General features: G+C 56.6%; 1 protein-coding gene across 16 annotated transcripts; it reads right to left on the reverse strand.

Annotated features, from left to right (window-relative positions):
* Positions 11–24,860, reverse strand: MTSS2 (MTSS I-BAR domain containing 2). 16 transcript variants are annotated; one of them, XM_011523450.3, is made up of 17 exons: positions 24,530–24,860; positions 22,717–22,882; positions 19,771–19,832; positions 19,601–19,674; positions 18,778–18,862; positions 18,593–18,684; positions 18,437–18,511; positions 18,122–18,130; positions 17,059–17,216; positions 16,599–16,706; positions 15,688–15,785; positions 13,113–13,335; positions 5,147–5,203; positions 4,273–4,347; positions 3,727–3,903; positions 3,405–3,570; positions 11–3,256 (listed from the first exon to the last, which is right to left on the reverse strand). In XM_011523450.3, exons 2-17 carry the CDS (start codon positions 22,858–22,860, stop codon positions 2,484–2,486), a joined length of 2,376 nt encoding a protein of 791 aa, XP_011521752.1. In that variant the 5' UTR covers positions 22,861–22,882; positions 24,530–24,860; the 3' UTR covers positions 11–2,483. The 16 variants fall into 16 exon arrangements, with proteins under 16 accessions (XP_011521752.1, XP_016879368.2, XP_011521755.3 ...); XM_017023879.3 differs by lacking the exon at positions 22,717–22,882 and having other exon boundaries at positions 13,113–13,239; XM_011523453.4 differs by lacking the exon at positions 22,717–22,882.

Raw genomic sequence — 25,661 nt, forward strand, 5'->3', positions numbered from 1 at the left:
GAGGCAGGGGTGTTAATTACAGTACACCTTTATTAATACTGGAATCTTCACAGTGCATCTGTTACTTGTAGCAGTGACTATATTTAAATCGGGGAGGATGGTGTGGAGGGGGCGGGGAGGAGAGGAGAATTTTTCCAAAATCTGACGGAAAGAAAAGAAACAAATGGTTCAGATGGGACGGAGGGTGGGGGAGGGGGGGAGGGTGAGTAGGAACCAGGAGGGCTGCCTGGGGTGGGGGAATAAATTAAAAAAAGGAACGAGTTAACAACAGCACCAGGAAAGTTACTTCAGTCAAAAGACGCTTTTGAAAAGAATATTTCTCCGTACAAAATGAGAAATTAAACGAACGTAAAGTCCCCCAAACCAAAGTTTGTGATGTGGGATGGTTGGCTCGGATCCCGAGGTGGGTGGGCCTATGAGGTGGTTGCTAAGTCGACGCAAGGGCGGCGGGGGTGGTCTCAGGGATGGACAAGGGGATGGAGTAGAGTATGTACAGCCCCCGGGGCTCACAGGGGAGGGGGACGGCGGAGTCGGTGGGGGCTGTGCCACACGAGCCCCCCTCTCTGGGTAGCCCCTGCCTCCTTTCCCATCAGGACCTCTGACGCCCAGGTCTGCCCACCCACTGCCCCTCACTCTATTCCCACCACATCCTGAATCCTGCTCCACCGCCCTGCCTCGGAAGACCCCTGCAGCCCTGGGGAGAATGTGTGGCGGAAATTCTACCCAAGACTCCCCAAATAATTGGTCACCTGCTCTCCTGGCCCCTAAAACCGGGGCTCTGGTGTTGGCCTGAGCTCCACGGGCTGAGTGCTCGGCCAGGCAGTTGTTGAACCTAGTGACTTACTTACAGGGACCATTCTTCATCAGCTCCCTCTGATGGGACTCTGTCCACATCAGGGCCTGCTTGGTGCCCGGACCTACCCAGGAGCTGCCCAGCTCACCGCACAAGAACTCCCAGGAGCTCAAGCCTGGGAGGCTCAGACCCAGCTCCATTCTATCAATCAATCAATCAATCATCAAGACCAAGGTGCTCCTGACCCCCAGGTAGGACCCTGCCCTGGGGCCACGATGCCCTCTGAGCCCTGCTTTCCCTCCTGACCTGCGGGGCCACCAGGACTCCCTCCGCTCGCCCTAGGCTCACGTGCTTTTACCTGCTGAGACTTGGCGTGACTTGGTGCGTGGGGTGGGGGCAGCCTTGCCCCTCCCCTTGCCCCCGCTGCCACCACGAGCCTGGACTACAGTGGGGGCCGTGCTGGGATGGCATCTCCTCCGGCAACAGAGAGTCAAAGCCAATCTTCCCAGACTCGCTCCCCCACCTGGGCTTGCAGCCAGCTCAGACCACAGCAGACAGGCCGGGAGCCTCCCAACCTTATTTTGGCTACGCTCGAGACACTGGAGAGAACAGTAGCTTCCACCGGGCTCTGGGGGAGCCAAGTCCCTCCCTTCTCATCCTGCCATAGGACCACCGGGGGGTCCCTGTCCCCCAGGCACTCCCAGACACACACCCTGTATCGTCCCCTCTCCCCCACACTTAGTCCTCGTCCACAGTCAGCTCCATTTTATTATATTCATAAAATGACCCCACACCTCCTACTGCTCCAGTCACCCCCCGAAAGGTGGCTAAAACTGTGACCCCCAAAGTTAAAAGATTGATGTACCCAATGAGAAGTGGACATCTGAAAACGGTGCCTGTGTGGCTGGCCGGTGACCCCAGGGCCTCCGGCCTCCTAACCCTGCTGCCCTAGTTTCCAAAGAGCTGCTCTGGCCCCCTCCAGCCAGCCTCACGGGGTGGGGGAGGCGAGGGGTGGGAGCCACCACAGGGCCCCCAAGACCCCCCCCCCCAAGCAGCCCCTGGTTTCCTCCCTGAGACTTGGCGTGGGCCCTGGAACTCCCTTCCCACACGGGGGGCCTGGCCGCCCAACTCCAACCTGCCGCCCTGGCCCCCAGCCCCCAGCAGACATCCAGCCCAGCGTGCACCTGGCCCCTCCACAGCCGCCCCGCCTCCTGGAGGGAGAGGGGCCTGGGAGAGGCAGAGAGAAGGCAAGAGGGGAGGAGGGGGCTCAGGCAGGGGAGAGGGGGGCCAGCATTCCAGGAGGAGCTGAGGCAGGACCAGCCCTGGGAGAGGCCGGGATGGTGAAAGGGAGGCCAGCCTGGCCCCTCTGTCATGGGCAGCGGCCCTGGCTCTGGTGCTTATGGGTAGGGAAGAGGCAGGGCCCCAGAGGAGGAAGAGGAGGGACCGAAGAGCATAAAACAGACCCCGAACCAGGCCCAGGCCTGCAGGCTCCGTCCTGGCCAGGCTTGCTAAGAAGTCACTTCCTGTTTAAATGCTGGAATCCAAGTGAGGTGTCTTTCCATAAAGTGGCATGGCCTCTGCCCTGGCTCTGTCCTCTCTCCTGGCTGGGCCTTTGCTCTGAGTGCCTGCGGCTCACAGACCAGGCCACCTGCTCGCACTGGGGCCTGAGAGGATGGGGAGGGTGGCGCCATCATAAGATGCGGGGCGCCGACCTGTCGTTGGTGACGGTCCTGCGGAGCCGGACCCCACGCCGGATGGCCACCAGCATGTCTTCGGCCGGGGGGTCGCTGGTGGCGGCTGGGGGTGGGGTGGGCGTCTCCTCCGTGGGGGTGGCCGACAGAGCAGTGGGGAAGGGGAACTGGCCCTCACCCAGTGCGTGGGCACCCGCCACCAGCTCCCCCAGCTTCTCCACCAGGCTGTGCCGGTTGGCCGCCAGCTGCTGCTGCTCGTCCTCGGCCCCTGCCCCGGGGTACCCGGCTGCCTCTGGGGATGGGCTGCCCCAGGCTGTGTTGGGCAGGCTGAGCCTCTTTGGGGAGGCCTTGGCGAGGTCCGGTGCCAGGGGTGAGGCGGTCTCGTCGGTATAGAAGACGCACTCCTCACTGCCCGCCCGTGTGGGCCCCATGTAGCCGGGGGAGTCAGGCACCGTGGGCGTCTTCACAGGGACGATGGGCGGCCGGATGGGGATGGGGCCAGCGCTGGACAGGGCGCGGCGCACGGTGGGCTTGGTGGAGGGTGTGCGGCGGATGGTGGCCACGCCGGGGGGTGCGCCCGAGGGCAGGCCAGTGGCCGTGGGCAGCCCCGCGGTGGGCAGCCCAGCAGTGGAGGCTGGGCGCTTGGTCTGGATCAGGCGGCGGTAGTTCTGGGCGATGTTGCTGTTGCGCGGGATGGTGGATGACTTGTCAAACTCGGGCGGGCCCTCGCTGTCCGCATCCCCATTCACGGAGTAGCAGTCGTAGTCGGAGCCTGGGGGCACGGGACACAGTGAGGCCCAGGGCCCAGGTGGCCCCTTGCCCCCAGCCCACCAGGGTGAGCACAGAGGGGGAAGGACGGGGCCCTCCTGGATGGCTAAGTCCCAGCTGTCCCTGGTCCCACCCCAGCCCCGCGGGCCTGCCTTGGGAGGGGATGGTGTCCTCAGAGCAGGAGGGCGTGGTGGTCTGCGTGCTGTAGCCGCTGGAGTACTGCAGCGAGTCCCGGCTGCTCTTCTGGTGCTCCAGGCTCAGGCCCCGCGTCAGCACCATGGCCAGGTCACTGGCGGCGGGGGACACCTCCTCACCGTGCTGAGGGTGGGAAAGTGCAGGCTGAAGCCTTGCGCCCCCAATCCCCTCTGCCCAAATTCCAGGCAGCCCTGCCAGGTGGTTGGAGCCGGCCCTGAGGCCACTGGCTGGGCCTCCTGGGACTGACCTGGGCGTGAAGGGGGGCCCTGGCCAGCCTACCTTGGCTGCGATGGTGGCAGGGGACATCCGGGGTCGCGGTGCCTCTTCCCCGCTGGGGCCCAGGGTGCCCCCACTGGCAGGGCCTGGCTCTGTGTCTCGCAGGAGCTCCACTCGGTCCTTCCTCCGCTGCAGAGTGGCGCCTGAGGGCTGCTCATGGGAGCCGACCTTGGACCAGTCCTGCAGGGAGGGTGTGGCAGGTCAGGGGGACCACTGGCCCTACCACCTATGGCCCGGGGGCCCGTCACTGTGGCTGAGGCTCAGGGTGTCCAGGGCTATCAGGGGGTCTCTGGTTCGCAATCACAGCCAAGGGCAGAGCATGGAGTGTGACTGTGGCCCCTCAGTCCCACCAGGCCCAGGGGTAAGATGTGGCTGTGTGGGCAGTGACTGTAGGAAATGGCCAGGTGGCTTGTCTCTTGGGGACAGGTGCTGTGTGCACGCACCCCTGGCTGAACCCAGGCCCTTTGTGCAGTAATGGCACCAGGTGGGGAGGGCATGGATGGGAGGGGCAGCTGGTGACTGTCCTGGGGCCGGGCTGGGAGCACTGACCGAGGTGGGGGAGCTGCACTCGCTAACGGACTGGCAGGTTTCCGAGGCCTCGGAAGATGCAGAGCTGGAGGACTTCTGCCATGCAGAGGCCAGCAGGCGGTTGCAGACAGAGGGGCCGGCAGGCAGCAAGGAGGAGAGGAGAGAACAGTTTTGGTCACAGAGCTGGCATGCAGGGGGGCGGTTCAATTCAGCGCCTTGCCCAGCACCCACCCCCCCTACCCCAGGGCCACGGCCGCTGAGTGTCTGCAGCAGCACACAGCAGCCCAGAGTGCACACGGTGAACGCTGACCCACCTGACAGCCCAGCCCTGCGCATTTTGAAGACTGACCACAGGACTCACTGCTGACGGCCTGGATATGGCCACCGAGGGGAAAAAGAGATACTAAGGGCGGCAGCTGGGTGTTTGGTCTGAGCAGTTGGGTTGATGGTGTCACAGTTTTCTCAGACAGGACACGGGGGAAGTGTGAAGCCCCGAGTGCCACGCTGAGCACTGAGCTGAGCTGCCTCTGAGGTCTCTGCATGGATGCAATGAGGGCCGTCGTATTCATAAGCTGAGTGCAGGGAGAAGTTGGGGTTGGAGCCATCAGTGCAGTGGTCTTGGGGTGGGATGAGGCCACCAGGCAGCGAGTGCAGTTAGACAAGATTCAAGGGCCAGGCCCGTGGCTGCTGATGCGCATCAGGTGGGAGGGAAGAGGAGAGTCCCGTAAAGGAGAGCCTGCTCTGCGGAGAAGGGGGGCAGCTGTGCTGATGCTGCTGGGTGGGGCCATCGGCTTGGGGCACAGGGTGTCCATGGAGACCCCGAGGAGAACTGCTACCATAGAAGGGGGTGGGGGAAGGCTGTTTTAAAGTGGACTGAAGTATGAAAGGGACACACCTGCTCTGGGCAGTGGGCTGGACTAGGTGTTCTGCGAGGCCCCCCACTCCTAAACAACTACAAAGAATAAAGAAAAAAGCAGGGTAGACACAGGCCCATGAAATCCTGAGCATGTGTGACCGGCAGGGTTCCCTGGGGCAGACGCCAGCTTCAGCACAGCAGTGGGGACGTGGATCACGGTGAGGTGTTGGCCTGGGAATGAGCCAAGTTAAGCCAGGGCAGCCCCCTTCCTCCAGCTCTCTGAATCATTCTGGATTTAGATCCCCAGATTTCCTGCAGATTCGAATGAACCAAGATCACCAAAATAAAAGGAAACCAGGCACCACCTGTGAGGATTTGGAGGAAATAACAAATGCAGACTTTTGGCAATATGACGGTTAAAGTAAAAAAACTCAATGGAAAAAGTATTTGGAAAACTCAGTGAAAAAGTTCAACACTTGCTCATGAAAAACAATACAAAGACACAAGCTGCTAGAAAGGAAGCTAATCTGATAAAGAATATCTACAAATGCATTGATACTTTTCCCTCTGAGGTTGGGAGAAAGACAAGGATGCCCACTGTCATCACTCCTATTCAGCACTGGAAATCTTAGCCAGTGCAATAAAGCAAGGAAAAGAAATAAAAAACAAATGGATTGGAAAGAAAAGAAAGAAGGCCAAGTGTGGTGGCTCACACCTGTAATCCCAGCACTTTGGGAGGCTGATGCATAAGGATCACTTGAGCCCAGGAGTTCAAGACCAGCCTAACATAGTGAGACCCCTGACTCTACAAAAAATTAAAGTTAGCCAGGTGTGGTGGCACATGCCTGTGGTCCCAGCTACACAGGAAGCTGAGGCAGGAGGATATCTTGAGCCTAGGAATTCAAGGCTGCAGTGAGCTGTGATCACACCACTGAACTCCTGAACTCCAGTGTGCGTGACAGAGCAAGACTCTGTCTCAAAAAAAAAAAAAAAAAAAAAATCACTATTTACAAGTAACATAATAGTATATGTAGAATATTAAGAAAGAATCTACAAATTATTAGAATTAGTAAGGGGTTAACCCTTTAACAAGATTATTAGAACAAAATCCGAAAAAGATCAATCACATTTCTAAATACCAGCAGCTAACAGGAAAACAACACAAAACAAAAAAACAAAACCACCCTAAAACATCAGTGTAATTTACGATAACATCAATAAACACTAAATACCTAGGGAAAAAATTCCAATGACAGATATGCAAGATCTTTACACAAAAACTACAGAACAAGCTGGGCATGGTGGCTCACACCTATACTCCCAGCACTTTGGGAGGCCAAGACGGGAGGATCACATGAGGCCACAAGTTTGAGACCAGCCTGGCCAACATGGTGAAACACTGTCTCTACTAAAAATACAAAAATTAGCCCGGCGTGGTGGTACATGTCTATAATTCCAGCTACTCGGGAGGCTGAGGCACGAGAATAGCTTGAACCCAGGAGGCTGAGGTTGCAATGAGCTGAGATCGCGCCACTGCACTCCAGCCTGGGTGACAGAGTGAGACTCTGCCTCAGAAAAAAAACCAAAAAACCAAAAACCTCTACAAAACATTACTGAGAGGCAGTAAAGCCTAAACAAACAGAGGGATATCTGCAATTCCATTCAAATCCCAGGAGTTTTTTTTTTTTTTCCTTTTGGTAGGAACTGACAAGCTGATCCTAAAAGTTACATGGAAATGGAAAGGGCCGAAAATAGACAAAGCGGTACCAAAAAAAAATAACCAAGCTAGGGGACTTCCATGACCAGATATCAAGATTTTCTATAAAGTCTGGCTGGGTGCAGTGGCTAATGCCTATAATCCCAGCAATTTGGGAGGCTGAGGTGGGTGGATTGCTTGAGAGTAGGAGTTTGAGACCAGCCTGGCCAACATGACAAAACCCCAATACAAAAAATACAAAAAATTAGCTGGCTGTGGTGGTGCACATGTAATCCCAGCTACTCAGGAGGCTGAGGCATGAGAATTGCTTAAGCCTGGGGACAGAGGTTGCAGTGAGCCAATACTGTACCTCTGCACTCCAGCCTGGGGGACAGAGTGAGACTGTATCAAAAAAAAAAAAGACTTTTTATAAATAATTAAGATGGTTACAATAATTAAGATGGTGTGGCATTGGTATAAGGCAGAGAAATCAACAAGTAGGACAGAGTGCCAAGTCCAGAAATAGCCACACACCTACAGACACCTGACTGATGATGAAGGCAGCACTGCTGTGCACTGAGGAAAAGAAGATGCTATGCTCCAAATGTCTATGTCTCCCCCAAATTCCTCTGTTCAAATCTTAACCCCCAAGATAAGGTATTGAGAGGTGATTAGATCATTAGGGTGGAGCCCTCATTAAAGGTTTTAGGGATCTTATAAAAAGAGGTTTAAGGGAGCTAGTTTGCCCCTTCCACCACTGAGGACACAGCAAGAAGGTGACATCTATGAACCACAAAGTGGGTCCTCACCAGACACCGAATCTGCTGGTGTCTTGATCCTGGCCTTCCAGCCTCCAGAACTGTGAGCGCTACATTTCTGTAGTCTAAGCCACCCAGGTTATGGTATTTTGTTACGGCAGTCCAAATTGACTAAGACAGATTTTTTTTTTCAATACACTGTTCTGGGTCAATTGGATATCCATATGAAAAAAAGGACCCCTACCTCACACCACACACACACCACACACTCAATTCCAGATGAGCTGCAGATCTAAAACAAAAGGGCAAAACCAAAAGGCTTTTAGAGGAAAACATCTTTGTGACCTTGCAGTAGGCAAAAATCTCTCAAGCAGGACACAAATAGCACTAACAATTTAAAAATGGATAAACTGGACTATTTTAAAACTAAGAACTTCTGGTCATTAAAAGACCCCCATTAAGACAATAAAAAGGTACCCAATAGAAGGAGAGAAGATATCCGATGAGGAACTTTATCTGCAATACTAAAAAGTTCTATAAATTGGTAAGAAGAAGACAGATAATCCAGTAGAAAAATGGGCAAACGATTTAAAAAGGTCCTTCATGAAAGGGAATATTCTAACGGTCTTTAAAGGTATGAAAAGGTAGCTGGGTTCAATGGCACACATCTGTAGTCTCAGCTATTCAGGAGGCTGAGGTAGGAGGATTGCTTGAGCCCAAGAGTATGAGGCCAGCCTGGGCAACATAGCAAGACCCTATCTCTTATAAAAAAGTATGAAAGCTGGGCATGGTGGCTCATGCCTGTAATCCCAGCACTTTGGGAGGCCAAGGCGGGCGGATTACCTGAGGTCATGAGTTCAAGACCAGCCTGGCCAACATGGTGAAACCCCGTCTCTACTAAAAATACAAAAATTAGCCCAGGTGTGGTGGCACACGCCTGTAATCCCAGCTACTCGGGAGGCTGAGGCAGGAGAATTGCCTGAGCCCGGGAGGCGGAGGTTGCAGTGAGCTGAGATCATGCCACTGCACTCCAGCCTGGGCAACAGAGTGAGACTCTGTCTCATAAAAAAAAAAGTATGAAAAGGTGTTCAATCTCATTAGCATTAGAGAAATGCAAACAAAATATACAGGGAACTACTATTACTCTGCACCCACTAGAATGGCTAAAATGAAATCAATATAAAATGCCAAGCGCTGGTGAGGATGTGGAACAGCAATGAACTGTCATAATCTTGGCCAGGTGTGGTGGCTCATGCCTGTAATCCCAGTACTTTGGGAGGCTGAGGGGGGTGGACTGCCTGAGGTCAGGAGTTTGAGACCTGCCTGGCCAACATGGCAAAACCCCATCTCTACTAAAAATACAAAAATTAGCCAGGTGTGGTGGCATGCGCCTGTAATCCCAGCTACTCGGGAGTCTGAGGCAGGACAATCACTCGAATCCCAAGGATGGAGGTTGCAGTGAGCTGAAATTGCACCACTGCACTCCAGCCTGGGCAACAGAGTGAGACTCTGTCTCAAAAACAAAACAAAACGACACAAAACAAAACACTGTCCTAATCTTGCTAACAGGAGGGTAAATTGGTATGAGCACTTGGCTTACTGTCTGGTAGTACCTATCAAATCTGAAGATGTGCATATCCCATGACTTTGCAATTCTGCTCCTAGGAATGTGCCCCACAGAACTGCATACTAGAATGTTCACAGCAGCACTATTAGCAACATCATAGCCAAAAAACTGGAAACTATGCAAATGTCCATCAAAATGGTTAAATTACATATTCACACAATAGAATGCCATATAGCAATGAGCATGATCTATATTTCCACCTAAAACATGGCTGAATCTCATAAACATAACTGAGCAAAAAGAAGCCAGACATAAAGGATACATACTATATGATTCCATATATACATGTAGAAAGGATAAAAAGGGCAAAACTAGGCCATGCCTGAAATCCCAGTGATTTGGGAAGCTGAAGAGGAAGGATTGCTTGAAGGTAGGAGTTCGAGACCAGCCTAGGAAACATAGTGAGACCCCCATCTCTATAAAAGAAAAAATATAAAAATTAGCCAGGCATGATACTGCACACTCGTAGTCCCAGCTAATTGGGAGGCTGAGGCAGGAAGATTGCTTGAACCCAGGAGTTTGAGACTGCACTGAGCAAGGATTGTGCCACTGCACTCCAGCCTGGGTGACAGAGTGAGACCCTGTCTCAAAAAAAAAAAAAAAAAAAAAAAAAAGTCAAAAGTAGTCAGGATAGCAGTTACCCTTGGGTGTGTAGTGACTTAACAGAGCACTGCTGGCTTCAGGAGTGGTGGTTATCCTGCTTACGTTCTTGTTCTCGGTGTGTTTAGAATACCTCAATAAAAAAGTTCCTTGGGCAGGTGTGGCAGGTCATGCCTGTAATCCCAGCACTTGGGAGGCTGGCACAGGCGGATCACTTGAGATTAGGAGTGATCCAACATGGCAAAACCCCGCCTCTGCTAAAAATACAAAAATTAGCTGGGTGTGGTGGTGTGTGCCTGTAATCCCAGCTACTTAGGAGGCTGAGGCAGGGGAATGGCTTGAACCTGGGAGGCAGAGGTTGCAGTAGCCAAGATCGCACCATTGCACTCCAGCCTGGGCAATGGAGCGAGAGTCTGTGTCAAAAAAAAAAAAAAAGTTCCTGAAAGACTCAATGGTGATGGGTTATAACCCATAGAATAAAAGAAATATTTATGAGTCCATATTGATATAAATTAAAAATTGAATATATAAATAAATGGGGGAGAAGGGACAGATCTTTTTATGGTAGAATCTCAATTAATAAATGTAGGAGAAATGACAGAAATAGAAAGTCACCTATTTTAACAAGCAAGAATCATCAGTGGATGCCAAAATTAGAGAGCAAAAGTACAAGGAGAAACAGGACATTTTCATCCTCTCAAAAGTATCCCCTCACAGGATATTTTATTAATTAAAAAGGGAGAAATAATGACTCTCCAGTGGAGAAACTTGGCACACGCCACCTTAACTAAGGATCAAGGTGAACATCAGCAGTCACACGACGCAGTGACATTGTGCAGCATTTAGGATGCACTGACATGGGGACAACCGCACTTCTGTGGTACTCTTGCCAAAACTGTATGGCTTCTAATTCTGAATGAAAAGGCATCAGACAAAGCCAGATTTAGAGGCATCCTACAAAACATCTGACCGATATTCTTCAAAAGTATCAAAGTCATGAAAAACAAAGAGGGACAGGTGTGAGAAACTGTCACGAGCTGCAGAAACTGAGGTGACACCAACACGAAACACTATGTAGGGTCCTAGCCAGGGGCAGTGGCTCATGCCTGTAATCCCAGCACTTTGGGAGGCCGAAGTGGGCAGATCACCTGAGGTCAGGAATTCGAGACCAGCCTGACCAACACGGTGAAACCCCGTCTCTGCTAAACACAAAAAGTTAGCTGGGCATGGTGGCGCATGCCTGTAATCCCAGCTACTTGGGAGGCTGAGGCAGGAGAATCACTTGAACCTGGGAGGCAGAGGTTGCAGTGAGCCGAGATTGCCCCACTGCACTCCAGCCTGGGTGATAAGAGCAAAATTCAAAAAAAAAAAAAAAAAAAAAGGAAAAGAGAAAAACCCGGGAACATTATGTAGGGTCCTGAATTGGGTCATGGACCCCTGGACCAGCAGGACAGGAGAGAGAAAACTGGCAAAAATAGAAGACTGTACGTTACTTAGTATTATACCAGTGTTAATTTCTTGGTTTTAAAAATGTTTTTGGTGGTTACATAAAGTAAGATGTCAACACTGGGGAGATTCTGGGAAGAGTATATGGGAACTCTACATATTTTACAACTTTTCTACAAGTCTAAAATTATTTCAAAATAAAAAGTTAAAAAAAAAACCCAAACAAAAAACCCTCAGTGGGTAGGTTAAATAGCAAAAAAAAAAAAAAAGAAAAAGTCGATTGTAAGATAAAACTGAAGAAATGATCCAGAATATATCCGGAGAAACAAGGAGATAGAAAATATGAGCTCAGAGATGCCTAAGATAGAAAGAGAGGGCTGGACATGCATCCAACTGGAATCCCTGAGGACAGAATAGAAAGAATCAAAGTGGAAGTAAAGAGATAATGACTGGCTGGGCGCGGTTGCTCACACCTGTAATCCCAGCACTTTGGGAGGCTAAGGCAGGCAGATCCCTTGAGCCCAGGAGTTCAAGACCAGCCTGGGCAACATGGCAAAATGTTGTCTCTACTAAAAATACAAAAATTAGCTGGGCATGGTGGTGCATGCCTATAGTCCCAGCTGCTTTGGAGGGTGAGGTGGGAGGATCGCTTGAGCCTGGGAGGAGGAGGAGGTTGCAGTGAGCCAAGATCGCGCCACTGTGCTCCAGCCTAGGTGACAGAGTAAGATCGTGTCTCAAAACAAAACAAAACAAAACAAAATGAAATAATGACTGAAAATTCCAAGGACAAATGAAAGACATGAATACCAACAAGGAGAGGTTAAATAAAAATAAATCCACATTGTAGACACGCTGTAGCAAAACTAAAGAGAAGGCCTAAAAGTGCCCAGAGAGAGACTCAGATTCCTCAGAAAGAAGCATCAGTGACTGACAGCTGACCTTCCAACCAATGGTGGAAGCCAGAACACAGCGGAAAAATACCTTCACAGTGTGGATGGAAGACAACTGTCACCCCAGAATAGTGTTCCTGGCAAAACGAACTTTCAAGAAGAGGACAAAATAAAACATGTTTACAGACAAACAAACAAAAACTGAGAGTTTACAACTACAGATCTATTCTAAAAGAACTTCTAAAAGATGTTTTTTACTTCAGAAAGAAAGAAAATAAGCTTTGGAGGATTTGAGATGCAAGAAAAAAATGACAAGAAATGTGTATTAACATATGGGTAAATCTAAATAAGTACTGTATGTATAAAATAAAGAAATTAAGAAGAAAAATGTCATTTGTGGGTACTGTAAAAAAAAAGAGAAAATAATATAGCTTGTAAGTTTGAGAAGGAGTGGGTGACAAGTAAAAAAATATATATTAAGGGCCTTGAATTACTCAGGAGGTGGGGTTGTGTTAAGTATGCATATGGTAAGATTTCAAGGTAACCTATAAAAGAAAAGAGACAGAATATAACTTACAATCCAGCAGACGGGGAATAAGAGAAAAGAAAAAACAAAGTCAAGGGTAGAGACAAGAATTCAGGACAAATAGAAAGAAGAAAGCCAGAAGTCCAAATATGTCAGTAAATACAAAGGGGCTAAAAATGGCAATTAAAAGATAGAGGTTGTCAGATTGGATAAAAAAAGAAAATCTAGGCATTATGCTGCTTACAAGAGACTCATTTAAGATATAAAGATATGTGAATTTAAAAGCAGAGATAGAAAATAATAATATAAATACTGAACAGAATAAAGGCCTTGGGGGCCTTCAGGCCAGTCTCAACAGCTATAGTAGTCTCAACAGCTATAGTAGTCCCGCATGTGGCTTGCCTGATGCTGGCATAAGGCTGCTGCACCCCACCCTGACTGATCCTCCTAACGCCCCCTCACCTGGCTGGTGATGTCTGAAGGCATAGGCGAGGGGGGCTTGGAGTAGGTGGCGTCCTGGGAGACGAAGCCAGAGTCATGGGAGGAAACGCTGGAGAGGCGAGCGGTGGTGGTGGCTGGCTGCGCCAGGCTGCGGTAGCGACAGGTGGAACTGGGTGAGTATGTTTGGGCACCCCCAGGCCATGGGGCTCCGCCACCCTTGGCACTGCTACTGCTGCTGGGGGCACTAGGGGAGTGAAGGAAGAGGGCACAGCAGCCAGACAGGGAGACAGAGGGGTGTGTGTTTGGGGGAGGTTGACAAACGAGGGTGGGGAAAGAGGTGAGGGGCAAAGGAAGGAAAAGACAATGTCAGACTAGGAGGTCCTGAGACCCAGGTGCTACACAGGAGCTGTGTTCTGGGACGGTGTGGAAGGGGAGGGCCAGAGCAGGGTACCCCCAGCCCCAGTGCTGAGGGGAGCCGTGGTCAGGGAATGCCCAGGGTGAGGCAACCTCTCTGCCTCCTATTCTGCCACTAAGAACAGTTGTCCAGGCTGGGCACAGTGGCTCATGTCTGTAATCCCAGAACTTTGGGAGACCAAGGCGGGTGGATCATTTGAGGACAGGAGTTCAAGACCAGCCTGGAGAACATAGCGAAACCCCATCACCACTAAAAATGCAAAAGTTAGCTGGGCATGGTGGCGCATGCCTGTAATCTCAGCTACTTGGCAGGCTGAGGCACGAGAATCACTTGAACCTGGGAGGCGGAGGTTGCAGTGAGCCAAGATTATGCCACTGCACTCCAGCCTAGGAGAGCAAGGCTCTGTCTTGAAAAAAAAAAAAAGAAACAAGAAACAGTTGTCCTGTCTGGGCGTGGTGGCTCACACCTGTCCCAGCACTTTGGGAGTCTGAGGTGGGTGGATTGCTTGAGTCCAGGAATTTGAGACCAGCCTGGGCAATAGGGTGAGACCCTGTCTCTACAAAATATATGAAAATTAGCCAGGCGTGGTGGTGCACACCTGTATTCCCAGCTACTTGGGAAGCTGAGGCAGGAGAATCGCTTGAACCCGGGAGGTCGAGGCCACAGTGAGCCATGATTGTGCCACTGCACTCCAGCCTGGGTGACAGAGCGAGACCCTGTCTCACAATGACAACAAAACCCAAAAAACCCACCAAAAAACCTATTGGTTTCACCAAAGATCTTAATCTAGATTCCTATATCCTAAAGAATATATCTTTATCACTGAGGCCTCAGCCTCCCGAGTAGCTGGGACTACAGGCACACACCACCATGCCCGGCTAATTTTTTTGTATTTTTTAGTAAAGACGGGGTTTCACCGTTTTTACCAGGATGGTCTCAATCTCCTGACCTCGTGATCCGCCTGCCTCGGCCTCCCGAACTGCTGGGATTACAGGCGTGAACGACTGCCCCCGGTGAGTCCAATCATTCCTAAACCACCTTCTCAAAATCTGGTATTTGCCATCCAGTCCTAACTGGATGTCTAGCATATGGTGATGGTGTGTGTGCGTACAGAGGTCACCTTCCAAGTGGGTCCTGCACCCACCATCACCCTCACTCTCTCCAATCCCTCAAGGGTGTCCAGCCCTCTATGGCTCACACCCTCAGCACAGCAATTCAACCCTTGGGTGGTGTTCCTGGCTAAGCGTGACCCTGAAGCCTCCCAGCCTCTGCCCCTGCTCATGGCTGTCCCCTGCAATCAGCCCCTTCACTGTGGGACGGCCACCCACGCAGGGTCTGAAGAGCCTCTCTCTGAGGTAGTAGCTGATTGCTGTGCCTGGCTTCTCCCAAGCTCTGGATGTCCAGCCAGTGATTCTGGGGAGAGGGGTGCCTGGCAAAGGGGGGCCCCCACCAGCACTTCACTCTGTGCTTACTGTCCTCCCCACCCAAGGAAGCTTGAACCATCAATGTCTCCTCCAAACCCAGCCCCAGTGCCCAGCCAAGGAAAGGCCCCTGATCCTGAGCCTGGCTAGTGACTGCGAGATCCTTGGCCTCTCCCCAGCTGTGTGAGGCTCCCGGGGCTAGCCTGGGCCAAGGCTCCAAATGCGGCAGCTGCCTCCATGGGAACCAGCTCTTAGGAGCCAGCCAGGCTGGAGTGTCCTATACCTTATGGCCCCAACACTTGTTTCTAGAAGCCTTCCCATCTCTCCCTGATCTTTGACTCTTACTATGACCCCACACGGTGCTAGGCCTGGCAGAGTCCAGTGGTTAAATGCTGGGACTTCATGTGTCAGTTTCCCCTTCTGTAAAATGGAGATGACACCATTCCTGATACAGCAGTGTTAGGATTCAATGAGAAAAAATGCATAAAGCACTTAGCACAGCACCTGGCACATAGTGGATGCTCCATAAATGAAGCTGCTACTGCCCCTGCTTCCTATTCTGCCAACAAATGCCTGTGCCAGTAGCAGTCTTGGGATGACAGGGCACATTTTCCCTCTACATATGCAAATTCCTCGGATGGTGTAAAAGTTGTGAATTTTGAGGCCCTGAAGCAATTTCTGATGCAATTTTGCTGGGAACATCCCCACTTCCTCTTGGGATACCGCCCCCCACACCCCTGGGAACCCCACCCCCACTGACCTGCACATGCTGGACTTCCGGGAGCTGGAGCTGCTGGGTGATGAGGGTGGGGTCTGGTAGGACCAGCTGTAGTCCGAGCCCTTTAGGTCTTTGATTACCTGGACAGGGACATGGATGGGGGTCACTGGAGGCAGCTCCTCAGAGCTAGTAGGGCCAGAGGCCCCCCCCCACTCTCTAATTGTGAACCACATCCCAGGAGAAGACCCAGAAATCTGAAGCCCCCTCCCCCAGGCTCCTCCTAATGTGGGGAGCAGGGAGACACCAGAGGACACAGCCTTCTCGGAGCCCCTTCAGCTAACATGCACTGAGTAGAGATTCCGAGCCCAGCCTGGGCTGGGCGAGAGTGACCCTGACACCATGGGGTGCAGGTTGCTCCTGCGCCTCCCTGAGTTTGTTTACTCCTGTTCCTGTCTTAGAGTGGAAGATTCCCTGAGATAACGTGGCAGATGCTGGGCATGCAACAAGTGCCTCTGGAGCGTGCTGCCCGCAGGCTGTGGGACAGGACTGGTCTGAGTGCAGTGGCAGCAGGGCTGGGGTGGGGTGGCCAGGTACGCCTGGGTCTAGGGGAGGGGATGGGGTTTCTGGCCATGAAGGGAGGTGGGGCGTCTCCAGGTTCGGCAGGAGGTCTGCCCACATGGAGCAGGGCAGGCAGACTCTGGGCCTGACTCCATGGATCCAGGACTTCACCCATCTACTCTGAGTCTGAGAACGCTGCTGGCCAGGGCATACCCTCCCCGACCTGGGCAGGTGCTCCGGGATGGCCTGCAGTGGGTGTCAGAAGGGGTCTGGTCTTATGCCCCTAGCTGCCTCCCCCAAATGCCATCCTCTTTTCCCCTTTACTGTTCCCAACCTAGGGCAGCCCATCTCCTCCCTGCCCCTGGCCCTGGCCCTTGGCCAGAGGGCTCCCGCACCTGCTCGCTGGCGGGAGGCAGTTTGTGGGGTTCTGCTGTCAGCACCACCAAGTCGTCGATGATGCCCTGCAGGTGGGTGATCTCTCCCAGCATGGTCAGCTCTCCATTCTGAGGAAGCAGCGAGTCAGACCTGCTGGCCCTATCGCCCACCTGCCCGCCTGCCCAGCGCCCCTGGAGAAGCAGCAGCCCTTGTCGGGCCTCTCCTCTCTCACCCCTCCTCGCTAACCAATGCTGCTCGGGGCTGGTGCAGGTGGGGCCCACACAGCCCAGAGGGCTGGCATGATGGTCTCTCCAGACCAAATCAGTGCATGGTGAGCTATGAGACCTGCCTTTGGGCCAGGAGCATGTGGCCTTGATGCCCCCAGCCAGGGACTGCTGAGAAGTGACCCTTCTTGGAGGTCAGAAGGTCAACCCTGGGCCCAGCCCACCCCTCTGGGGTCTGAGTCCCCAGGAGTCCCACCACCACAGGCTGCAGGAAGGTGATGAAGGTGCAGAAGCGGCCCCGCTCCTCGATCAGCGCCCGGCGCACGGCCTGCTTCTCCGTCTCCTCCAGCAGCAGGTACATGTCGTTGACGTCCTGCAGGGCACTGTCCAGCTGGGGCTGCAGGTCTCCTTTCCCTGGAGGGGTGGGGAGGAGAGGCCTTGCTGGGGATGCCAGCCTGGCTTGCCACACCCACAAATGGGCTCAGACCCTGGTGGTGGCATCTCTCGGCCGTTGGGCTGGGTGTTGCCCTGGGGCCAGGGGACTGCGGAGGGCAGTGAGGACTCTGGGGCTTGTGGAAGGGCTAGTCCCACCAAAGCAGGCAGAGAGGACAGACACACACACAAGAAAGAGGCCAAAGCTGCAAAGCCACGCTGGATTGGGGCATCTCCGGGGGAGGCTCTTGGCGCCCAGGAGCTCTGCCAACACGGAGACTCGCTGGCCTCCACCTGGGGTACCCTCACTGACCCGGGATGGCGCCCCTCACCTCACAAGGTCCAGGGAGGTGGGGCAGAAGCGGGACAAGAGAGAGTGTGGGGCTCAGCTGTAGGCCAGGCCACAGGGGGCGGGGGCCAGGAGAGCTAGGGCTGGGCCTTGGAGGCAGGGAAGGGGTCTCAGTGTGGGTCCCCACTCAGCTCAGGGAGCAGAGCACACAGCAACAGCGACACAAGAAGCAGCAAGAAAGAGAGAGGCGAGAGGATGATGCAGAGGAGATGATGAGATGGCAGGTGAGGAGGTGACAAGTAAGGACGCAGGCCAGCCTGGTGGGGGCGGGGCAGCCAGGGCCTGTGGCCCCCATCCCGCCCTGGCCAACCCCTCCTGGCCTGGCAGACTGACCCAGCAGTGGCCCGGGACTCATCCCTGGCCAGGGACCCCGGGGGCCCCAGGGGGACTGTGCCCCAGGCCCCTCCCTCGTGGACCGACCGCCTTCCTCGCTTCTCCTTGGCCTGGAGAGGTTCCTTCCAATGGCCCTGAGCTGGGGGAGACAGACAAATGCGACAAGGACGGGAGGAGCAGCTGGAGGGACCGACATTTGACTTACCAAGTAGCTCTACAGGAAGGATGTGGGAGGAGAGGAGGAGAGACAGAGAAAGAAAGAATGTGTGAAAGACGCCGGATGGACAGAGCCACTCCTGGGGCGGGGGTGCCTGGGCCTCCTGCTGCCTCCCATAGGGAGGTTCTGGACCAGGTTTGGGGGGAAGGGCAGCTCCCTCTGTCCCACCCAACAGGTTGGAGGGTCCTGTGTCGGGGACAGCGCCCCTCTGGCTGGGATGAAGGCTTTGGGGCGCCCCACGGGGCGGTGGGGCTGTGGAGCGGGGCCGTGGGGCTGTGGCTGGGGGGCCGCGCCAGGCACTACCTTTGCGCGCCTTCTTCTGCAGCTTCAGCGTGTCCGACGACTTCTTTTTGATCTCATGCCGGGCTCGTTTGTACTCTGCAGAAGGGGAGAGCGGAGCGCTCTAATGGGGTCCCTGCGGAGTGGGGGGTGGGAAGCCCGGCTCCGCGCCACCCTCACCTTTCGCGTGGTCCTTGTCCAGCTGGTTGGCCGCCTTCTTCCAGTCCTCGATGCGCTCCTGCAGCGGGTTGATGAGGCTCTCCAGCAGTGCGCTGCGGAGGGCGGGCGGGAGCGCAGGTCAGGGCCGGGCTCCCCCGCGACGCCCCGTCCCCCCGCCCCCCTGCCCGCCCGCAGCGCCCACTCACTTGGTGAACTGCCGCAGCTTGGTCTCGATGCTGCGGTGGCGCATGCACATGCGTGTGAGCGCCGAGCCGATGTCCCTCGTGGCCCCTGGCGAGGCAAGCGCGGGGTGGGAAGGGGCCCGCTGGGGCCTGCGCAGTCCCGGCCTCGGGCCAGGAGGGGGCGCCCCGGCCGCGCAGGCGGAGCCCGCAGCCCGCGCCCTGCCCCCGCCGAGCCGCAGTCCCGCCGGCCCTGGGGGATTCGGGGCCTCCTCCATCTCCACCAGCTCTTCCTCCGCCATCCCAGCCGCGCCAGCCTCCTGCGGCGGCCTCCCCTCTCTCCCAGCTGGGAGAGGCCGGCGCCAAAGACCGTTCCAGGAGCCGGCCAAACGACCCTCCAGGTGTGCCCAGATGCAGGTGCGGGAGTGTGAGCACGCCCAGGGCCCGAAGGAGCGGGAGCCCCAGGTCTCTGCCACTCGGACCAGAGGGCAGAGGCGGCGCCAAGCCCAACGGCGCGCTCACCTGACCCTGCGTGCTCTTAGAAGGACACGAGGGCATGAGTGGGAAGAAGCCCTAAGGAGAATCTCTGTGCTGGGGGGTCACATGAACAGCCCACAGCAAAAAGGGAATCCCCGGGGAACACTCCTGTCACTACTTACCCACTCCTGCTTGCATGCCTCTTGTGACGAGGGGCTCACTCTCTCCACAACCAGCCCACTCCACTAAGGAGCAGAACTCAAGGTTCTGGGCTTGGCGTCCCGTCCTTTCCCTGGCCCATCCCCTACTCTTCCTTTCCAGCCTCCAGGCCCACCCTGGGGCAACCCCAACCTCCAGCCACGCGCCTCCCCACCTCGGGTGTTGGTAGCCATGTCAGCCACTTTCTGGAAGGCATCCAGGAAGGCCACAGCAGCCAGCACGGTGGTCCTGGGGAGAGGGACAACGGCATGGATGGTCGGTGGTTGGGCGGGGGGGGGGCCTCTGCCTGCCCCTCCCCTGCTGGGGTGCCCTGGGCCACCTCACCTCAGCTGGGAATGCAGCTTCGTGGCCTTGGAGTTGAAGTCCTCCCAGATAGGGTAGGAGCTCTGCCGGGCAAATGGGAGAGAAAGTGAGCTTCTTGTGGGGTGGTTGCAGGGCTTGACCTGGGCCGGGCTCCCTGCATGCTCCATCCAGACTTGGGGCAGTTTCTAAGACAGCAGCCCTGCCCCATGGAGAGGGAGGCTCTGGGTCCTCTCGGAGGGCAGAGGACCAAGGACAGAGCCATCAGCATGAGGAAAGCCTGTCCCTGGGAACGGGCGCCTTTGCCAAGCCCTCCCTCCCTGACATCAGGACATCCACCCTACAGGCTACAGGGGGCTCACATCCTCCCTCAGGGGAAATGGAGCAGGAAGTGGCAGGTCCTGTCCCCTCGGGGTTTCCCAGGGGCCTGGCAGGGGATCTGGGCTGAGCCCAATGAGAGGCATCGTGTCTCCCGGACATGTGCCTAGGACACTGGCACTGACCTGCCCACCAGGGGCAGAGGCACAGTGTGGAGGGTAGGGGGTGGCAGGGCTGAAGGCACACCAGGTGTAGACTGGGGCCTCCGGGGCCCCTGCCCTGTGTCCTGGAAGCTGCCATCCCAGGCCAGCAGCAGTGGCTCCCAGGGCCGAGGAGGCTGTGGCTGCTGCAGGGCCCAGCTAGCCTGCCTGGGACAACCAGGCCCTGGGCTGAATGGGGCCTTGTGCGGCCAACAGAGCCACCTTTCTCCACCCCCTGCTCCCCTCCCCTCCTGGGGAAACAGTGTGGCCTTTATCCCAGCCTGGCCCAAGGCTCCAAGTTGGGAGGGGGTTTCCCAATAGGGAGGTCGGGCTCCTGGCCACCGAGTTGTCCAATCTGATTTTGGGGCTTTTCTGGTTAACGCATGCCCCGGGGTCCTGGAGAAACCTCAGCCCTGGCCCAAGGGCCCTGTGGAGGTTTTGCCCCTTGACGGGCAGCCCTGGGCCAGCCAAGCCCCAGCCCACAGGGGCTTCTGACCCTCCCTTCCATGTAGGATGGGGCGATGGAGGCTGGGGCTCTTCCTGAGGAAAGGGGAATGCGGAGACCCTGGCCCTCAGGGCCTCAGAGGGAGGCTCTGCCTGGCTGCAACCCAGGAGCAGGCTAGGGCTTGCCCTGCCAGACTAGGAGAGCTTGCAGGGGTGGGAAGGAGACAGGGCGGCTTAGGGGGCCTCAGAATCTCCCTCCCCTCCCAGCCCAACCAAACCAGTGTCCAGAGAAAGCAAATATTTGCAAAGTCCACAGAGGCTGAAGCAAGAGTGGGTAAGCTGTGGGTGGGCTGTTCCCAAATGGGCACAGCTCAGGGTGAAGGGGCCTGGGAAGCTGTTCCTAGCCGTCCCAAGGAGTGGACTCATGCCACCTATGCCTGGAGTACCCCTTGGGGGTCTTCTAAAAGGGGGCGCTCTCCCACCGCCTGGACCCCCACCCCCACTCAGCCTTGAAACCTTGCTAAGATCTCCCTTTAGGGAGCAGAGAAGTTGCTAGGGGTGGAGGGGGGTCCAGAGCCAGCTGCCCTGGCACCCAGGAACCTTCTTAGCCCCTGAGCAGCCCTGGGGCAGTCTCAGAGATTAAAGGCTCTCCCCATGGGGAGGGGACAAGATGGGGCGCAGGGGAGGCCAGGCCATTTCCCCTCAGCAGATGGACCTAGATGCCTCAGTCTCTAAGGACCTGGACCCGCCCCCCTCCCCACGGTAACCACATAAAGGACCCCAGAGACAAAGAGCTTATGTCTTATTTGTTTATATCCGCCTCTTCATGGATAGGTCAATTTCACTGATTAAAAATAAGAGATAGGGCTCCAGCAGCCAGTGCCCCAGGAACAGCATCCTCAGCCTTCACCTGGGACAGGCCCAGGTAAACCTTCCCCACAGCCCCATTTCACCAACAAGGAAACAGAAGCCCGTAGAGGTTAGCTCATTTGCCCACGGCCACAGGGTGGCGGGGTCAGGACCTGATCCCATGTCTGCCTGGTCACTGCACGCCAGGTAGAGGGACTCCCTTACAAAGCAGGGAGACAAGCACTGAACGTCAAGGCTGGGGAGGCGGCAGGGACTGCTGGGATGTGAGAGACACCCAGTTCTGCCCCAAGCACAGTGGCTGCTCTGGAGTGGGGAGGTGAGGGGCTTCTCATTAGAGGCGCCCAAGTGGACAGGGATGAGGGGACTCTGTCTCTGTCCCGGCAGTGGCTGTGGTTCAGATGTGGAGTGTGGGTGAGCAATCCAGCCTCCAATCCCAGGGAGTGGGCTTTCCAGGTGCCCCTGGGCAAGGGCCCCCTGTCTGAGCCTCAGTTTCTTCACCTGTAAAATCAGGAGAGGAGGAGCACCTGCCCCACTGGGTCAGTGTGGAAATTGAAGCAGGTGCTGCTCAGCCAGCACTCCTCGCAGCGCCCAGCACGCAGTAAGTGCTCAGTTAACACCAGCTAACAGTACGCAAGCCCTGCCCTCTGCAGGGGCCCCTAGCAGAGGCCTGGCCAGGCCTATGTGTCCAGGTGACATTCCCCACTCTTGAGGGGTGGGTGAAGAGTATGACCCCATTTTCTGGCTGGGCCAGCACTGGGTGGAGGCCCCATTCACCTTGCTGAAGGTGCCGTGCCCAGAACTATGACCTTTGGCAAGTCTCTGCCCCTCTCTGGGTTTCAATGGGCAGCCTGACACCAGTGGGCATCTGACCTTGGCCCCCGCTCAGCCCAAGGTCAGGGCCTCCCAGAGGCCCAGGGGAGGGCTTCTGTGGGGCCTGTGGACTCACTGTGGGGTGGCCTCACGGGGCAAGCTCAGTCTCCTCAACCTGGCTGCTGATGGCCGCCCTTCCTCTACGGAGGCCCTGCTGCTCAGGCCACCGAGGGGAAAATCCAGAAGCTGCCCCCGCAAATCCAGGTGGTCAGCTTCCAGGTGGCCTCATCCCCTTCTCTGCCCCTGGTCATGGCCCCTGAACACATGCCTGTGTCATAGGTAGGGGCGAATCTGTCCTTGGCATCATCCCAGGTGAAGCCTCTCCTGTTTTGCCTCCACATGTCAGCAAATCATGCCCGATGTCTGGCTTGAACCTCTTGCTATGATCTGGGCCCACTTCCTTCTGTCTCATCCCAAAGTTCCTTGCAAATTGGCTGGAGAGGGAGAGAGACTGTCCTAGTCCACTTCCACGAGCAAAATCTGCTGCTCTCTGCAGTGGTTGCTATGAGGCTGCCAGTGGTGGTGGGTGGTGGGGTGCGGGAAGGCCCATCCGGAGCCAGCTCTGGGATCGGCCAGGGGAGGGTGGTCTGTGTTGCCCAGTCCCTTAACAGGATCCTGGGGCCAGGGCTGTGATGTCCACAGGACAGGTGGGGACTGCTGGGGGCCAGCGGAGGGGCCCAGATGTACAGTTGCAAGAGATGGGGGTCCCAGGGGGAGTGCACCATGAGGGGCAGGGGGTGGGGGGCATCTACAAGCCGCTAACTGGGTAGTCCCAGGCCAGGCTGGCTTCAGGCCTCTTCCGGGGGCAGAGATCTGGCAGCTGTCCCTGGGGCTGTTGTCCTGGCAGCACCGGGAGCCTCGAACTCCAACCTGCCAGCAACCCCCACCCCTCACGGGGCCTGTCCTAGCAGCACTGTACTGGGTGGTGTCACCCCCATCCCTGGCCTGGTGGGATTCTGTGTTGTGCACTTGGAGAATCTGCGCTGGGCTGTGGGGGTGGGGGCCCTTGGGAGATCCTGTGGGGTGCCTCGTTCTTTCCCCTTCTCCCAGCCCCCAAATCCTGCCCCTTCATCCTAGGCTAAGGAAAGGGGGCACGGCAGGAGGGCAGGAATACTGGTTCCTGGCCCCCACCCTATCACTGGAGCTGGGCCCTCTCTGCCTAGTCAGCGTAGGGCAGCCCTGCCAAACCCTGGCCTCATTTGGGGAGAGGAACCCACTAATTTTCCCAGGAGGAAAAATGGGGGCTGAGGTCAGGGGAAGGGTCCAATAGTCTCCTTAGTGACCTTGAGCCATTTCCAGGCCTCAGTTTCCCCACCTGGTGGGGTGAGGAATGAATGGGTGGTTGGATCCAGCCTGACCTTAAGCAATCCTGGGAGACAAGGAGGGCTCGGAGCTGAGAGCCCAGGGTGGTAATGGGGTAGGAAAAGCGCTTCCTTGGGGTTGCTCCACCGACCCCAACCTTCATCCCGCCTCCTCCCAAGGTGATGATCAAGGCCTATCCTTGGGATGCAGGGACATTCAGCCTGGAGACCTTGGAGTCCTGGAGCTTCCTGGGGCTGTGGGGGTGGGGCGGGGCTGGGGGACGCAGTCTCACGGTCGGGTGCAGAGGCCTAGGTCGGCGGGGAAGGAGTTAACGGTTCTCCGCTTTATTATTTTTTCCTGCTTTGGCGGTGACAGCATTGTCTGGGCTCCGGGGCCGTGGGGGAACATGGTGGTGGAAGGGGGCGGAGGCCGGTAAGACCCCGGACTCGTTAAAGGGCCCTAGAGTCGGTCCTGGATCCAAACCCCATTCATGGTTTGGCGGTCTGGGGCGCAGGGAGCCTGCGTGTGCACAGGCTCGGGTCAGGACCCCACGGGGCCACCGCGGGCACCGCACGGACACCCCGACACACGAGCACCCACACCCCCAGACGGGCACCCGGAGACACGGGCGCCCAGCAGACGCAGGCAGGACGCGCTCAGACAAGGACACACAGACACCGCGGCGCGCGGCCACACGAGGCTCGGCCACCCGCCGCCACGCGTCCCCGGGGGGTCCCGCACCCGTCGCCGCGCGCCCGGCCCCGCCGCGCCCCGGTTACCTTCATGTCGTTGACTATGGCCTGGAAGAGCCCGCCCAGGGCGCCGCACTCCTTCTCCGCCGTCTCCATGCTCTGGCTGGGCCGGGCCGCGGCGGCGGCTAGGCGCACGGAGCGCGGGGAGCAGCGCAAGGGAGGGGGCCAGGCCGCGCGGGCGCTCGCTCCGAGGCCGGGCCGGGCCTCCCGCCTCCAGGCTGCGCTCAGCGGCCGGCCGCGCCGCGCTCCGGGGTCGCGGGCCTCCGGCGGGCGGCGCGGGCCATGTCGCAGCGGGGCTGGCGGGCGGCGCGGGGGGCGCGGCGCGGGCAGCTCGCGGCGCAGCCTCGGCGCGGGGACTGACGGCGGCGGTAATCCGAGCCGCCGAGGATCGGGCGTCACGTGGGCGCGGCGGAGGGGGGACCGCGAGGAGGGAGGGAAGGAGGGCGGGCCGCGCGGGAGGGGGCTGTGGGAACGGCCGCGCGGGCGCAGGCCCATTCACGGCCAGAAACCAGGGCTTTGAAATCCGAGCCCGGGCGCTGCCAGACTGGTCCGGCGAGCGGGGCCGACGGGCGCGGGCGCCACCGAGGGTCGGGGGGCGGCGCTGGGCGGGGCCCGCCCTGCCCACGCAGGAGCGGGACTGGCGGTTGGGCCTCGGCCCCCGGGCAGGGGCTCCACGATATCTTCTGGCCTTTGGTCTGGGGCGGGGGGCTTCTCGCGCTTCTAAAGACAGGCAGTGGGTACAGTGGCGGGATGGGGTCGGTGCATGGGCTGGATGGGTGGCATACACCGCACACAGCAGGGCGCGGGGTATCGTGGAGCCGCCCGCCTTGGGACGTTTCATCGCAGGCACAGACCTTCCTCAAGTTCGGACCCTTCCAAGTTCCTTGGCTCCTTCTCCAAGTGGTGCCGATGCCACCCGGATGGGGTGCCCAAGGCTGGGCATTTGGGGGGCAGTGGTAGTCTCCTGGGCCTTGAACAACCTCCTTCTTCGCGGGTGGGGGCTAATGTCGGACCTGCAGAGCAGAGCTGGAGTGTCCTTGGTCTCTGCTGCCTGAGTCCACGGTGGGTGCGATGCACACACGTGCATGGGGTAGCAATGTCAATCGCAGCCTGTCCTGGAGACTCCAGGCAGGGAAACCCACCCTGGGGGGCAGCACGA

The sequence above is a fragment of the Homo sapiens genome, chromosome 16 (assembly GCF_000001405.40).
Source record: "Homo sapiens chromosome 16, GRCh38.p14 Primary Assembly".
In the NCBI taxonomy this organism is placed as follows: Eukaryota; Metazoa; Chordata; class Mammalia; order Primates; family Hominidae; genus Homo; species Homo sapiens.

Excerpts from the sequence above, each read along its gene's own strand:
- MTSS2 (XM_011523450.3), bottom strand. The coding sequence starts at position 22,860 with ATGAGACAGAAGGAAGTGGGCCCAGATCATAGCAAGAGGTTCAAGCCA. Across the intron at positions 18,685-18,777 it reads AAGCTGCGGCAGTTCACCAA|CGCACTGCTGGAGAGCCTCA; the intron begins GTGAGTGGGCGC and ends CGCCCTCCGCAG. Across the intron at positions 3,257-3,404 it reads GGACACCATCCCCTCCCAAG|GCTCCGACTACGACTGCTAC; the intron begins GCAGGCCCGCGG and ends CCGTGCCCCCAG.